General features: G+C 41.8%; 1 protein-coding gene across 1 annotated transcript in view; it reads right to left on the reverse strand.

Annotated features, from left to right (window-relative positions):
* CASQ2 (calsequestrin 2) overlaps positions 1-16681 on the reverse strand; it is a 68694-nt gene that overhangs the window by 36786 nt on the left and 15227 nt on the right. Inside the window, exons 2-4 of the mRNA NM_001232.4 lie at positions 8022-8106; positions 3922-4022; positions 1418-1529 (exon numbers count right to left, since the gene is read on the reverse strand). Of these exons, the coding sequence (NP_001223.2) occupies positions 1418-1529; positions 3922-4022; positions 8022-8106 (298 nt within the window). The remainder of the gene's footprint in view (positions 1-1417; positions 1530-3921; positions 4023-8021; positions 8107-16681) is intronic.

Here is a 16681-nt window from a genome sequence, read left to right on the forward strand (position 1 = left end):
ATCATCATTAACATGCAGGTAATAATGATAATCACCTCACAGGCTTGTTGTGAGAATGAAATTAAGGCATCCATATAAGCTCCTAGCATAGGCCCTAGCATATGAAATGTGTTAATTAAATACTATTATCATGATGATTCGTCTAGGCGGGGGAAGACGCCAAGGGTACTGAAAGGTGTGCTCTTTATCCTAACCTTGTTTTGCTTCCCTCTTATCTGCCATCCTGAGCTACATGGATGAAGAGGATAGAGGAACATAAAGATGGAAACAAATTGAGACAGACGAACTGAAAAGGAAGGGGAAGGAGAAGCACCCCAGAGTAGTCAGCACTGATACGGAAATGTACAAACTAAAATAAAATTGCCTAAAGAAGAACTGGGGCAAATCTCCCTGGTTAGCCACCTCCCTCTAGCACATTCATTTTAAGCACTGTAAATGGAGGTTTTAATGAAGCAAATGAAAAGAGGGTTAAGTTGGGGCATGGGAGACAGAAAATGAATGGGTTGTTGATGAGGTGACTAAGGATGCTAGTGGGAAGACTGGTTAAAGAAATGGGTTTGCAAACAATTTCAGAATATTTTGGGGTTCTCAGAAATAGTCATAAGCAGCCCACATTTGTACTTCCTACGTGTATGAATGCTACCAGAGTTATGCTCACCCGCTCTAATGCTGTTCCTCTCTCCAAGGCTGAGATACCAGAAAAAAGCCTACCTCACGGGGGCCATGCTGCCAAAGCAGTTTTAAATATGTACAGTACTCAAGTGCTTACTCCTCCTGGTCCCTTCTGCCTGCTCTTCCTGACTCACCCCCACCACCCGCTCATCCCTATATGGGCTGTAGTGATGTTATCATAGGTTCTGTGTCCACCCAAAACCTGGTCACAAAGCTTTCAAAGGGAATATGTCCAAGGGTGTGGCTGCACTATGACAGGTAGCCTTGGTGGTCAGCTGTGGGCTTGGCCAGCGATTTTTCACATTCTGTAGCCACTGCTAAGCCCATCCCTACCCCAATTTTCCACTCATGCTTTCCAATTGACTGCAAAGCTCTCCAGCTGGTGACCATAGGAGCTACCAATGCCAGGGAGACAGCCCATTGCTTGTCCCATTGTAGGGGAGAATCCGACTGGGAGGTGGGTAGGCAGGAAAAGTGGAGAAGAGCTTTTCTCTTTTTTGTAGAACACTCAGCCTGCTTTAAAGCTGGAGAACCTGGCCCCTCCTTAATATTCTTGCAGCTTTCCTGACTGTTTTGTACAATTTTTGCACATGTACTCCACTGTGTTAGGCTCAGGAAGAATTCTAACTTCTATTCTACCCAGCAAAAGAGGTGCTGAAGACCCATCCTCTTTTGGGGTAACCTGACATACCTTGTTTGGAATCTAGCTTTTAGACTGATCGGCTGGGGTTGGCAGACAACTTACATTCTGAGTCCTCACTCTTGAAAAAGCCAATGAGTTTGATGTAGTCTTCAATGCGTTCGAAGGCTTGGACTTCCAGTTTGCTGCTGATGATCTCCACTGGGTCTTCAATTAGCTGAAATGCCACACGCACATACACACATGTTCAAACAAGAGATTTCCTTCTTCACTGGGGAAACAGAGTGCATTGGAGGGAAGTTGTAGCGGACTTTGTGGTTGGTGCCTCAAATATCTATTCCATTCTCCCCACAATCCCCCAGTGAGCATACCAGCAGTACCTTCTGAGGAATAGAACTTAACTTAAAGAGTTAAATGATTGGTGGGGGCAACCTATTCCTTTTGCCAGTTTTAGAAAACATTTATTTTTAATTGTAGATTGACAAATTATAGTTGTATGTATTTATTGGATGTAAAGTGTTGCTATGATCTATAAATATGTGAAATAATTAAATCAAGCTAATTAACCTATCCATCACCTCAAATATTCATCATTTTTTGTGGTGAGAACATTTGAAATTTACTCTTTTAGTGATTTTGAAATATGTAATACATATTATTCACTATATTCACCATGCTGTACAATATATCTCAAAGAACAAAATCTTATTTCTCCTGTCTAATTGAGGCTTTGCACCCTTTGATCATTATCTCTCCATTCCCACCACCCCCACCCCATCCTGCTTTTGGCAACTACTCTCTGCTTCTCTGAGTTCTCGTGTTCTAGATTCCACATATAATAAGTGAGAACATGTTGTATTAGTCTTTCTGTGCCTAGCTTATTTCACTTAACATAATGTTCTCCAATTCCATCTGTATAGTTGCAAATGATAGTTTTCTTTTTTTAAAAAAAAAAAAAGCTGAATAGTATTCCCTTGTGTATGTATAGCACATTTTCTTTTCTTTCTTTTTGAGATGGAGTCATGCTGTGTTGCCCAGGCTGGAGTGCAGTGGCACGATCTAGGCTCACTGCAAGCTCCGCCTCCCAGGTTCACGCCATTCTCCTGCCTTAGCCTCCCGAGTAGCTGGGACTACGCCCACCACCATGCCCAGCTAAGTTTTTTTATTTTTGTATTTTTAGTAGAGATGGGGTTTCACCGTATTAGCCAGGATGGTCTCGATCTCCTGACCTTGTGATCAGCCCACCTTGGCCTCCCAAAGTGCTGGGATTACAGGCATGAGCCACCACGCTCCGCCATGTACCACATTTTTTTTAATCCAGTCATCTGCTGATGGACATTTAGGTGGATTTCATAACTTCCCCTGCCAGTTATTGATTCAGGAATGGGCAAGTAACTGGCCCAATAAGGACAGATTTGCTGAAGGCTTTGGGAAAAGTTCTTTACTCTTAAAAGGGCAATGGGAAGCCAAATTTGTTTTTCTGTCATGAAATATGAATGAGGAAATGCAATGTATTTGTTCCTACTGCTGGCCATCTTATAGCTAACTTGAGAATAGTCAGCTTGAGGACACAAGCAACATACTGAAAACACAGTTATCTGTGATTTACAGAGAAAAATGGAGGCAGTGTCTGGATTCGATCAAGTCTAAAGTCTCCTCTAACTAGAGCCTTCTACTTAGGTAAGTCAATCACATTGTTTATTGTTTGAAGCAGTTAGTCTTATTTCCAAAAGCCTCCCCCTAGCTGATAAAGCTGGGGCAGCACCATGCTGTCCCAGAGTTGTTCTGTCACCCCTCTCAACTTTTTTAGGGCATGTGGGTGTGAGTCAATGAGATGGCCAAGCACAGTGCGTCATGAGATGGCACTTTTTTTGGTAAATGTAGCTTCCAACTCACTTCTGACCTTCCCTCTGGTTTTTGACACTGTAGAGAAAGAATGATAGACCACTGGGTACTGGCTGGTAGATAAAGAATCATCGGCATGGATGCTCAACACTAGGTTCTTTATCTGTGCAAGAATATGTGTTCAAAGCATTGAACTTCACAGCGGTTACTGCAAGTGTGAGTTTATCTATGGATGAAATATTTTTATAATGTTTGTTCCTATGTTTGTCTAAGCATATGGATATGAGGCTGTGCTATGTCCATGGCTGAAAAAGTGTGATACTGGGGGGCTGTTTAGCTCTGTCACTTCTCTATGTTGCTCTGAGGGTGGCTAACTCAGGGTGACCTGGCTGATTGGTACTCCCATCCCTCCTCTCTCTTCAGGTGGCTGGTTAGCCCCCTCACTCCCCACATTCCCCAGCTCCTCTTCAGTAGCAGTGGAGCAAAACCAAGGAGATTTCAATAGACGTCTATGTATAACTGGTAACAGAATTAGCATATTACTACTACATGGCCCCCAACAGTTTCTAGGGTGGCTTAAAGATCACTTTCCCAGTAGAGTAGACAGTGCAATAATATAGGTGCTCCTTAGTTTTTTGTGAATCCTGAAAAACCTGTCACAGATGAGGCCAGGTTCTCCAGCTTGTCCTTTCTTTGGGGTTCTATCTCTCCCTATATTTGAGGAGAGGCAGCTCCATGCAGGGTCACTGTGTATAAATACTTACATCCAAGAGGAACTCCACCAAGACATCAGCTGCAAACTCGCCATCAAACTCTATTGTGCGATCACCCTTAAGAATATACAGGCTTCCTTCTTCATCAAAACCTGTAAGAAACAAAGAGGCCCACAGAGAAGGTCATCCTGACGTAGGAAGAGTGATTGTATTGGCTGAGGTCTGGCTGAGGGTTTCTGGGTGACAGTGGGGTCAGGATTAGTGGAACTAGCATTAACCAAAGAAGCAGTTGCCTTGAAATAACACTTTTGAAGAGCTCCTGAAGTGAACATTTAATTGGAAATAGTCCAGAACAATTCCAGCTGGATTTTGACTTAAAAGAAAAGTCTATTCTCCACTCCACCACTGCTTTAGTTTTCCAAAAATACAGCTGATCCCATGTCATTCTCTTTATCAAAGAATTGTAATGGCCACTGCCCACCTGACTCCTTAACCTTGCTTTAAAGTCCCTCCAAAATCTGTTTCCAAATCTATCCCTTTCATTCTCCCTTAGGTAGACTTGTACTCCTTTGAGAACTGCTCTCTTGTCCCCTGTGGGACTCCCTTTGCTTCCTGTCCACATGTTTATATGAAAAGGTGAGTAAAGGAAAAGTCACTGAGCATTATTCTCTAGACTTAGTTTTTCTTGTTCTCCCAGCCTGGAATGACCTCCATCTTGCTTAGCTTCTTCAGGTCTCAGCTTAGGATTCATTTTTCTTAAGAAAGGTCACTTCAATCTCACTGAACTCATGCCATTATTGATCTTTGTTCAGCTCAATTTACAGGTCTTCACTATCAAAGTGAGTTCTCTGAGGGTAGGATCATTGTCTTCTTGGTATCCCAGAGCCTTGTACAGAGGCTGTGTACATCAGCAACCCATTAATGTATGTGGCCAGGATGGACAGCTTGCTTTCCTGTTCCAGCTGAATCCCACACATCTTCTTTATCCAGTTGGCTGGTAGATGCTGCAAGGACAGGCTCAGCGTCTTCTTATTTTGCTGCCCTTTAGCACCCTTGGTCTGATGTTGTGTACCTTAACAAATGCTTGTTGGAAAAATGCATTTTCCTCCTTAGGAATGTTAAATAAACAAAGCTGGCATTTAGTCCAATTGCCTGGCATCCTTAATTCCTTAGATTGTTGTAAAAGTCTGTTAGCTGGAGAAAGTTTTCTCCAAATGAACTCTTCTGCAGAACGTCCAGGGACAGGAAAGCTGGACTGCAGCCTGCTGTGTCCCAAGGCATGCATGAGGTATAAGCAGCCTCTGGCACATGGGCGGGAAATGGTAGAGGCACCATTTGTAAATCAAAAGGAGCAATGTGCCAGGTATTCTTTTTGTTTGTTTGTTTTTTGAGACAAGGTTTTCCTTTGTCACCCAGGCTGGAGTGCAGGGCCATGATCATGGCTCCTGCCTCAGCCTCCTGAATAGCTGAGACTACAGGCATGTGCTATGATGCTGGCTAATTTTTCATATATAAGTATATATGAAAAATTATATATTTTTTATATATGAAAAATTATACTATATATGTATATTACAAGCATGAGACACCGTGTCTGGCCCTGCCAGATTTTCTTGATATCAATGATGGCCAATCTCAAAAGGTGCCCTAGGGAACATTGGCCAGTGTCCTGCTGTTGGATTTTGTCTTGAGCAAAACCGCAGTAAGAAGACTACTGCAATTGTTGAGGCACAACTTGATAGAGGCCAAAATAAGGCAAATGGAAAAGAAATGAAGATGAAGGAGCAGGTTCACAAAATACCTCCACTCTCCTATAAACCCCCAGGGATCAAATAACCGGAAGGAACCTACCCCAACTCCTCCAAACTGAGCTTGTTTCAGTGTATCAAGCGCCATCATATTCTTTGCTAGTCTATTTTTATGTATACTTGCCCAGCTTGTCCACCCAAAATTTTTAGATCACTGGGACACTAGTATTTTTCTCTAACTAAATTTGCTGGAAATTCTCCCAAATGCAACTTCTCATTAAACCAATGGGAAGGCAGAAGAAGAATCAAGAGACTGCTGGGGGAGGAGACAGAACTCATTAAACTGTTTGTTTGTTTGTTTGTTTGTTTGTTTGTTTGTTTTGAGATGGAGTCTCGCTCTGTCTCCCAGGCTGGAGTGCAGTGGTGCGATCTCGGCTCACTGCAAGCTCTGCCTCCCAGGTTCACGCCATTCTCCTGCCTCAGCCTCCCGAGTAGTGGGACTACAGGCACCCGCCACCATGCCCGGCTAATTTGTTTGTATTTTTAGTAGAGACGGGGTTTCACCGTGTTAGCCAGGATGGTCTCGATCTCCTGACCTTGTGATCCGCCTGCCTTGGCCTCCCAAAGTGCTGGGATTACACTGTGCCCAGCCATTAAACTGTTTTTGACTCTAGGGAAAGAGTTTAACATATTTTGCTCCCATACTCAAGGGAGAAAAATATCCCTCAATGTGTCTCCAGGGAAAGAGACATCCCAAGCATTCTTTATTTTTGTTTATTTATTTATTTATTTATTTATTTATTTATTTATTCATTCATTCATTTATTTTGAGACAGAATCTCACTTTGTTGCCCAGGCTGTAGTGCAGTGGCACAATCATGCAGGCAGAAGTCACGGCAATCTTGATCTCCCTGGCTCAAGCCATTCTCTCATCCCAGCCTCCCAAGTAGCTGGCACTACAGGCACATGCCACCATGCCCAGCTAATTTTTAAATTTTTTGTAGAGATGAGGTTTTTCTATGTTGCCCAAGCTGGTCTCAAACTCCTGGGCTCAAGCAATCCTCTGCCCTTGGCCTCCCAAAGTGCCCAGACATTCTTAATAACTCATTATCATTGTATAGTCCTAAATAGTTTCCTATAATTTAAATCTTTTTTTTAAAAAAAGACTGGTCTTCTTGAAAATAAAATAGAAAACAGTTGTCTGTAATTTTCCAGGATAACGGACTTTTATGTACCTGAAAGTATTCACTGAGCCACCACTAATCTTTTTTTTTTTTTTTCTGTACTTACTACTCCAAATCCAATTAACCTTTCTTCAAAGATCCTGTTTTATAACCCGCTATTTTTTTTAATAGCCATTCTTCACTGGTCATGCAGAAAAAGCCAAATGGGCAGTACATGTGTGTCAGTGTTTGAAAATCAGAGGAGCGGGCCGGGAGCTATGGCTCACGCCTGTAATCCCACCATTTTGGGAGGCTGAGGCAGGCAGATCATTCAAGATCAAGAGTTCAACACCAGCCTGGCCAACATGGTGAAACCCTGTCTCTCATAAAAATACAAAAAAAAAAAATGAACTGAGCGTGGTGGCGTGTGACTGTAATCTCAGCTACTCAAGAGGCTGAGGCACAAGAATCGCTTGAATCCAGGAGGCAGAGGTTGCAGTGAGCTGAAATCACATCACGGCACTCCAGCCTGGGTGACAGTGAGAACCTGTCTCAAAAAAAAAAAAAAAAGAAAAAAAGAAAAGAAAAAGAAAACCAGAGGAACTACCTCCATTCTCTCTCTTTGGGATTACAGGGTTGTGAATCCTAAAGTGCACTGCACTTAAGCATGACATATCGACACTAGAGAGTACAACTTCCATGTGCGGTCACTTAACCATACCTCACCTATGTCCTCCCCTCTCATCCTTGGTGATAATGCCCAACTGGGGTTTAACCTTAAATTTAAAAAGCACTGTTACCCTGGAATTATTACTATTAATGCTGTCTTTTGTTGGCTGCTTCAGCCGCAAGGCAACGAAATAATACATGATGAAAGAAGAGAATTTTTAACTCTCTCAGAGAGATCACCACAGTGGTGAGATAAGAGAAGCTGGACTTTTAGCTTGCTTTAGAAGCTGAAAATAAAAGCTTGACTCTTTAGCATCAATTTCTCCAGGAAGAAACCCTCTTCATCGTACTGATACAACAATCTCTTACATGATTAATGTGAAACCATTCAATTCAGGCCTATATTTACTTTTATGAAACTCTTCTCCAACCAAAGATGAAGGTATGCAGGATCATTTTATATATTTTAAAAGATAGTCCGCTTATGCAAGAATAATTGCAACTGTACTTTTCCTTTTGCAAGACACATTCGTTTCTTTCCCACATACAGTATCTCAAAAATCACACTTACCCAGTTTCTTGGCAAGCTTGGCTTCTTTCTTGGCATCCACCATCACAAAGCCTATAGCTTTATGTTCAAGGACCTGGGCCACAAGCTGAAGAAACAAATGGAAAGATGAGTGTGCTAAGGGCAGAAAGATGGTAGAAAATATTACAGGATTACTATCCTCATGTATCAATGGAAGGGTTTCCTCTATACTTGCTGTTACTATGTGACCAAGTTGAGCAGCAGCAAAGGAAATGTATTCTTGTCCCCTCAGGGGAAGGATGATTCAGGAGAATGCTGAGAATCAAGGAGGGAAAATCTGAGGAGCAGACCTAAGACAGAAAATTTGGAAGAATATATCCACTGTCACATACCAGTTTCTGCCCTTGGAGTAGATAAAACCTGGATCGGGAGAAAGAAGAATCAGGAAGGAAGCATGGGTGCCTGACAAGGGGCCCTGAGCCCTTCTCTAGCTGCCAAATGTACCTGGGGCAGAGTGGGAACACAAGAGGACCTAAGAATAAAGGAGGCCTATGTCCTCAATATCCAAACATTGCGCTCAATTCCCCCACTCCTGGGCTTGTGAAGTAGGAATGCCCATTGGGTGAATAGACCTGAGATGTCTTCTCAAGGTTTCCTGAAGCACACTGAGACTAGTAGAGTATCGGGGGTCAGGGGTTCGGCTCCAAAGGCCAAGAGGATGCAGCAGTGTCCTAGATGGACAGATAGCTGAAAACTTCTCTGGGTAGACACCAGCATAGATGATGACATCAAGCACAAGATTGGCATTATGTTAAGCTTCCTGCAATGCAGATATGAGCAAGTAGGCAATACTTGCTTACTTCAGGACTGAGACCTAATTCTTGCCATCTGTTTGAACAGGGACTTGAAACAGAAACAGAATGGAGATGCTACCAGACAGATCATGAAATATTAATACTACTTTTTTTAGTTAAACTTAGAAAAAAGATAATTGTAGATTAACATGCAGTTGTGAGAAATAATACAGAGAGATATCTTGTACATTTTACCCAGTTTCCCTCAACAGTAACATCTTGCAAAACGGAGGTACAATGTTACAAATTGGATATTAACATTGATACAGTTAAGATACAGAACATTTCCACCACCACAAGGATCGCTCTGTTGTCCTTCATGGTCACACCCACTGGTTCGTGTCCCTATCCCCTCTTTTACCCTGGGCAACCACTAATTTGTTGTCCATTCCTATAATTTTGTCATTTCAAGAATGTTATGTAAATGGAATTATATAGTATGTAACCTTTTCAGACTGACTTTTTTCACTCAGTGTAATTATGTAGAGATTTGTCTAGGTTGTTGCATGTATCGATACGCTGTTTTTTTTTTTATTGCTGAGTAGAATGTATGGTATGAATGTATCATAGTTTGTTTAATCATTCACTCATTAAAGGATATGTGGGTTGTTCCCAGTGATTGGCTAGTATGAATACAGCTGCTATAAAGTTTAGTGTATAGGTTTTTGAGTTAAATATTAGTCTTAATTTCTCTGAGATAAATGTCTAATAGTACAATTGCTGGGTTGTATGGCAGTTACATGTTTAGTTTTTAAAGAAGCTGCCAAAATATTTTTCAGTGTAGCTGTATTGTCTTACCTTCCCATGAGCAAGGTATGAATAATCCAGTTTTTCCACGTCTTTGTCAGGACTTCGTAGCATAACCATTTTTCATTTTAGTCATTTTGACGGGTATGTAGTGCTATCTCATTGTGGTTTTAATTTGCATTTTCCTAATGGCTAACAATGTTGAGCATTTTTAAATGTCCTGATTTGCCATGTGTATGTTCTCTACTATGAAATGCCTGTTCACATCTTTTGCTCATTTTTCAACTGGATTGCTTTTTGGCTGTTGAATTTTGAGAGTTTTTTTAAATACCAGTCCTTTTTCAGATATATGGTTTACAAGCATTTTTTTTTACTCTGTATGTGTGTTATTTCATCTTCTTTTTTGATTTGACAAATAATAATTGTACATATCCATAGGGTACACAGTGATGTTTTGATTCATATAATGTATAGTGATCAGATCAGGGTAATTAGCATACCTGTCATTTCAAATATTTATCACTTTTTTGTGTTGAGAACATTCAATATCCTAATCATTTCATCTTCTTAATAGGATCTTTCACAGAACAAAAATTGTCAATTTTGATGAAGTCCAGTTGATCACTTTTTTCATTCATGGATTGTACTTTTGATATTAAGTCCAAGAACTCTTTGTCTAGCCTCAGATCCTGAATTCTCTTATTTTTTCTAAAAATTTTATAGTTTTTCATTTTATATTTAAGTTCGTGATTCACTTTGATAAAATTTAAGATAGGTTGAGGTTCCTTTTTCTTTTTTTGCCAATAGATGTCCGACTGTTCCGATATTTTTTGGTGAAAAGGCTGTCTTTCATCCATTCAATTGCTTTTGTAACTTTGTCAAAAATCAGTTGGCATATTCATGTGGGTCTATTTGTGGTTTCTCGATTCTGTTCCATTGCTCTATATGTCTGTTCCTCTGCCAACACCACATAGTCTTGATTGCAGTAGCTAGGATCAAGTATATCTGAAAGCAGGTAGACTATCTCTTTTCACTTTATTCTTTATTTTTCTAAATTGCTTTAACTATCCTAGTCCTTTAGCATTTTTGTATAAACTTCAGAATAATCTTGTTTATACACAAAAAAAAATATTACTAGAATTTTGATAGCAATTGCATTAAATCTGTGTATAAACTTGGGGAGAGTGACATATTTACTATGTTGTCTTCCAATTCATGAATATGGTATGTCTCCATTTATTTGATCTTCTTTGGTTTCTTTCATCAGCATTGTATAGTTTTCAGCCTACAAGTCTGGCACACATTTTGTTAGATTTATATCTAATCAGTTAAATTATTTCAGCTACTGTAAATTGTATTGTATTTTTAATTTTCATGTCCATGTGTTTATTGCAAGTATATAGATATACAATTAATTTGTTAATGTTAATGCTAAACTCACTTATTAGTTCTAAGAGGTTTTTGTTTTGTAGATTCCTTGGGATTTTTCTAGGTAGACAATTTTGTCACCTGCTAATAATTTCTTCCTTTTTCTGCATGCCATTTTATTTCTTTATCTTTACTTACTGCACTGGTGAGAACTTCTAGCACTATTTTGAATAAGAGTGGTAAGAATGTCTTGTTTTCTTAAATTTTTTGTTTCTTTCCCATTCTTAGAGGTTTATTCATTTTTCCTTTCAGTTCTATCAGTTTTTGCTTTTTGTACTTTTCAGTTCTATTGTTTGGTCCAGACACATTTAGGATTTATTGTCTTCTTGATGGTTTGACCCTGGATCTGTTTGGCTCTACAACTCATACTATAAATCCCTCTACTTTCTTTTCTATGTTTGTTTCTTTGATATCTTCTTCATTTTTATGTCTTCCTTTCATTGTTCCTAGAATCTGTGTCTTCTCCTTCAGAGTTCCTCTTCTGAATATCTTAAGGTTTTTCTTTGCATATTTATTCTTCCCTCCCAGACCTTTTCATCTGTTCCCAGCCTCTTTCTTTCTCTCTGGCTTCTAACTGTTTCCCTTCTTCGAAGAGCAAGGATTGTGAGCAGAAGCACCAAGAGCAGCTCCGAGGAATACCTCTGGTGGTTGGGGACTGAGGGGTGGGAGTGGAATGGCAGGTAACAAATAAGCCTACCCCCACCCCCACCCCTCATTCAGCTTTCTCTTATTTCTTTTATTTTGCCTGTAACTAGGCAACACTTAAGATGAAAGGCATCATCAGTGTTTATGTATGACTCATGTTGAGATTTTCTGCAGTGCCTAAACAGACCAACCTTTCTGCAAGTCACTTGGCTTCACTCTATTGCATTTAATCTGTTAGACAAAGCCATTTTTTAATGACTTTTCTGGTTTCCAACATAAGCCCCTGTGTTCTATTTAGTGCTGTCAAAATCTTAAGTTAAATGTTCCCTTGTATATCACTCAGAGTCAGTAATGATGGTACCTAATGGCTTTGCGGTATAGTAAGTTTCCTTACTCCTAGTACGTGAGCCTCTGACAGTGGTTCTTAAACTTCAGTGTGCATAAGAATCACCCAGGGACTAAAGTGGGGCTTCCTGGGCCTCAGCACAATACAGTAGAAAATAGACCTGGGTGGGGCTCAGGAATCTACGTTTTTATAAACCACACTACCACACCCCATTATTCTAATACAGCAGATCTCAAGACAGACTCTGAAAAACACTGCTATAAATGGTTGTCAGCACATCCAAAGTGATATGACACAGTGCTCTTCTAACTGCTGGGCTCTTTAAGCCCCTCTCTCTACCTTTGGCATAGGAGAGATGTATTAATAATAGTAAGAATAACCAATGACATAAAATAAGAAGTTAACTCTGAGAATTAAACAGAGAACTTAACTCTGATCTCTCCTAGGTACGCACTACCATGTTTTATTTGGTTTTAGGTAGATCCAAATGTGTGCCTCTCGTAGGCATGTAAAGCATGGCCTTCTGGTTATCTTATGGATATTTATATGTGATTTTTGAAGATTTATGAGTGGGAGGTGCTATCTCAAATGAACTCGATTCTTTTTTCCCGATTCCCTGGTTAACTAAATACAGCCAATCACTGTCCTGTGCCATAGATGGAGAAACAGAGCAGGCAATAACACATGGGCCAGGATCCCATGCCTAACTGAGACTTTCCCACCTCCTCTTTGGCACCCTTAGGCAAAATCCCTCCAGAATTCCCATCACTCTTGCCTCCCACGCTGATAAGACCCAAAACTTGCCCACTTGAGTTCTGTGGTCACTGCCGCCAGTCCTAGCAAGTCTCCTTCATGGGAGCCAAGGGTGCCAGGTAGGTGATTCCTGACATGGCAGCCAGGAGCCTCTGCTGGGCCAGTGGGGCAGGCAGGAGTCTGTCTACCTCTCACATTTGGCTTGGCCTTGCCTCCACCTTTACTTTGGCCCTAAATCTGCAGCTCACATGTTCCCTTCTCTCCTGCAACCTAGTCTCACTGCATTCTCAGGTCGCTACCAGTCCTGGCCACCGTTGGCTGCAGAGCGCAGCTCCATGTTCATCTTTCACCCCATTCTCCTCTCTGGAACTCAAAAAGCCCCTCACAAGGGCACAGTACTCTGGCACTTATTGTGTAATCATTAGAGTTGTGTATAGTCTCTACATTGTGACTCTTTCCTCCATAAGAAGAAGGACCCTGTTTTGTGCTTCTTTTGTATCTTGCAGTTTCTTGGAGACACTCAGCATACTTGTGGATGAATGGGTGGATTGGTCCAAGTACTTCACAAGTTCAAGGGCCTTGTGAGCCAAGGAGTTAGAAGCACTTGTCATCAAATACAGTGACAAAGAGTTACATACGTGAGAAAAAAAGGTAGAGTCAATATATCTCCTAAATTCCCAGAAAACTAGTACAGACTTTTCATATAGGATTGCAATTTTCTCCTGTTGACGTACAACTGTTTCTCTGCTGGTTTTGTTTGTTTGGTCAGTTACCTCTCAGATAGTCCATCCTAGTGAATGGGGTTGTCTCTTATCGGTTGGTTATATGCAGCCTCTGGGCATTGGTCAGTGCTCATTCTTTCTAGAAACATTAGGATTTGCTTTAACCATTGCTGATTCTTTTAAGTACAAAAAAGTGTTTTTTAAAAGTTATTTTAAGGTCCTTAAGGTTTTGTTCTGTTTTGTTTTGGGACTTGGTCTCACTCCTTTGCCCAGGCTGCAGTGCAGTGGCACAATCACGGCTCACTGAAGCCTTGACCTCCCAGGTTCAAGCAATCCTCCCACCTCAGTCCCCTGAGTAGCTGGGACTACAGGCCTGCACCAACACACTTGGCTAATTGTCTAAGTTTTGTCGAGATAGGGTCTTGCTTTGTTGCCAGGACTAGTCTTGAGCTCCTGGGCTCAATAATCCTCCCACTTTGGCCTCCCAAAATGTTGGGATTACAGCCATGAGCCACCGCGCCCAGCCTAAAAATTCTATTTAAATAATATGCATAATTCAATAGGAAAGAAGTGGATATTTATAATATAGCTTTACTCTTGTTAAAAGATTGTATCCTGTAGGTATGTATCGCACCTAATGACAGGGTGGATCCAAGTAGATCTCATCTTCGAATGAATAAATGACTCATGGATACTATGTCCCAGTTGTTAAGTGCACAGGGCTTGGAATCAGAGACCCGTATTATTGACTTGTCCACAAGCCTGTGCTGTGACTCCAGTGTAAAAAGTGGACAATACCAATATCTATTCAATGGGACTGTTTTGATGATTAACTGAAATAATGCATGTAAAGTGCTTGGCACAGTTCTTGGCATGCAGTAAGTGCTTAGTAAACATTAGATTTTCTTCTTAATATTATGACAGCTGGCTAGGGTTCTGGATCTTGTGCCAATTCAAAAATGCCATAGTGTAAAGTGTTATAATGGAAAGAGAACAATTATTAATTGAGAACCTACTGTGTTAACAAAAATGTGTAAGACACGTGTCAGCTCCAAGGGCCTTGTGATTTAAGGAGGTAGGAAATTCATTAAAAAAAAATAGCTCTAGGGCCGGGCGCGGTGGCTCACGCCTGTAATCCCAGCACTTTGGGAGGCGAGGCAGGCGGAACACGAGGTCAGGAGATAGAGATCATCCTGGCTAACACGGTGAAACACCATCTCTGCTAAAAAAAATACAAAAGAATTAGCCGGGCTTGGTGGCAGGAGCCTGTAGTCCCAGCTACTCGGGAGACTGAGGTAGGAGAATGGCGTGAGCCCTGGAGGTGGAGCTTGCAGTGAGCCGAGATTGCGCCACTGCACTCCAGACTGGGCAACAGAGTGAGCCTCCATCTTAAAAAAAAAAAAAATAGCTCTAGGTGCTACAGGAGTAGGACAAAAAAATAAGGGCTGTGGAGACTTAGAGAGTTTGTGGGCTGGGAGGTCAAATCCTGCAGAGCCCAGTGGGCTGTGATGAATACTGTGGATTAAATTTCCATGCACTCAGGATGAACCTAAATCCCTAACATGGCCAAGAATGTCCTGCACTCTTTGTCCCACCTGTCTTTCCAGCCTCATCTGGGGTCACTCTATTTCTTACTTAATACAATTGTCTTCAGCTCCGCAAAACATCAAGCTTATTCCTGGCTCAGGTGTTTGCACAGGATCACCTCCTTCAGCTGTGCTCTCAAGCCCTAGGCCAGTTGAAGCTTCAGCTTCTTGCAGGGACGCCTTGTTCTAATTCACACAAAGCCACCAACACATGCTCTGCTTCTACACACACCCCTCACTCCAAATAGAATTCCTTTTCCCCGACTGTTTGCTGGTTTCTACTTTCCTTGAAGTCTGCATTTAAATGTCAGTTCCTCAAAAGGCATTCCCTGACTCCCAATCTCAATTTTTCCCTTTTTACCCTTGATCATCACACTCCATGCTTTTCCTTTGCAACCATTTCACAGTTGCAAGTGCACATTAATTTATATGATTCTTTGTCTAGCAATTGTCCATGTTGTAGCCTGTAAGCTCTATGTCCACGTCTGTTTTTCTCCCATGCTATCTCCAGCACCTAGCGTAATACCTGAACAGATTAGATCTCAAAAATAAAAAATAAAAACAAATAAAAGCGGTAGTTTCTTCAGTAAATGAATGAATGAAGAGGGAGGCTGTTTAGAAAAGGGGAGGCCAGCTAGAACTTGGAGGAGGAGTGTGTGGATAGGCGGAGGGGGCTGCAAGGGCATCCCAGGAGGAAGAAATGGTATAAGAAAAGGTTTGCAGGTGGGAATGTGCAGGGGTGTGCAGGAGAACAGGCTGACCTGCTTGAACAGTGGGCTTATTTGGGGTGCTGAAAGAAGTCCTGTGTTAAAATCACATTAGAAAAAAAGTGTGAAGGACTTAACTACTAGGACTGGAAGCTCTGATTTGGGGATCGTCTGAGTAGAAGAGTAATATGACTAAGTTGTGTTTGGCAAGAGTGGATCTGAGTGCGTAGAGCAGACAGAAAGGAGAGTGGAAAGGAAAGGCCACCAGTTGGGAGGCTGATGTCCTAGTCTGTGTGAGAGATGTCTCTGATCTCAGACCAAGACAGTGTCAGTGGGAGAAAAAGTGACACGTGCAGGTGGTGCTACAAGTTGAGAATCAGTCAGACCTGGTAAGTCTTCCTTGGTTTTGGAGAGAAAAGGGAGAGAGATCAAAGAAGAGGGAGGAGGCAAAATAGTTTGAGGGTCTCCCATGAGGAAACAAAGTGGAGGACACACAGTGATGGCAGGAGGGCATGACAGAACTGGGGAAGCTTCTCAGCATGGATTCAGACCCAGAGAGTTCACAGTCACGGCAGTCCAGCCCAGACCCGGAGGTGCTGATCTAGGGCTCGGGGGAGAGGTCCTGCGTGAGAGGTCAAGGCTTGAGGACAGGTGACATCTTTGGGAGACGAGTATGAAAGAAAGCCACAGGGTCAAGGGCTGGCTGTCTCAGAAGGAAGAGAAAGAAGCCTACCCTGGAGGCAGAGCGGAGCTATGGGAGAAGTGCGGGGAGAGAAAGGATCCTGGTGTAGTGACTCCAGAGTCACAAAGGAGCGGGTGGTCATATCAAATGTTGCAGGGAGTCAAGGAGGGGTAGGACCCCCATGAGGCCTCTCATCTCAGGACTGGTAAGTCACGGGTGACCTTTTAGAGAA

The sequence above is a fragment of the Homo sapiens genome, chromosome 1, assembly GCF_000001405.40.
Source record: "Homo sapiens chromosome 1, GRCh38.p14 Primary Assembly".
In the NCBI taxonomy this organism is placed as follows: Eukaryota; Metazoa; Chordata; class Mammalia; order Primates; family Hominidae; genus Homo; species Homo sapiens.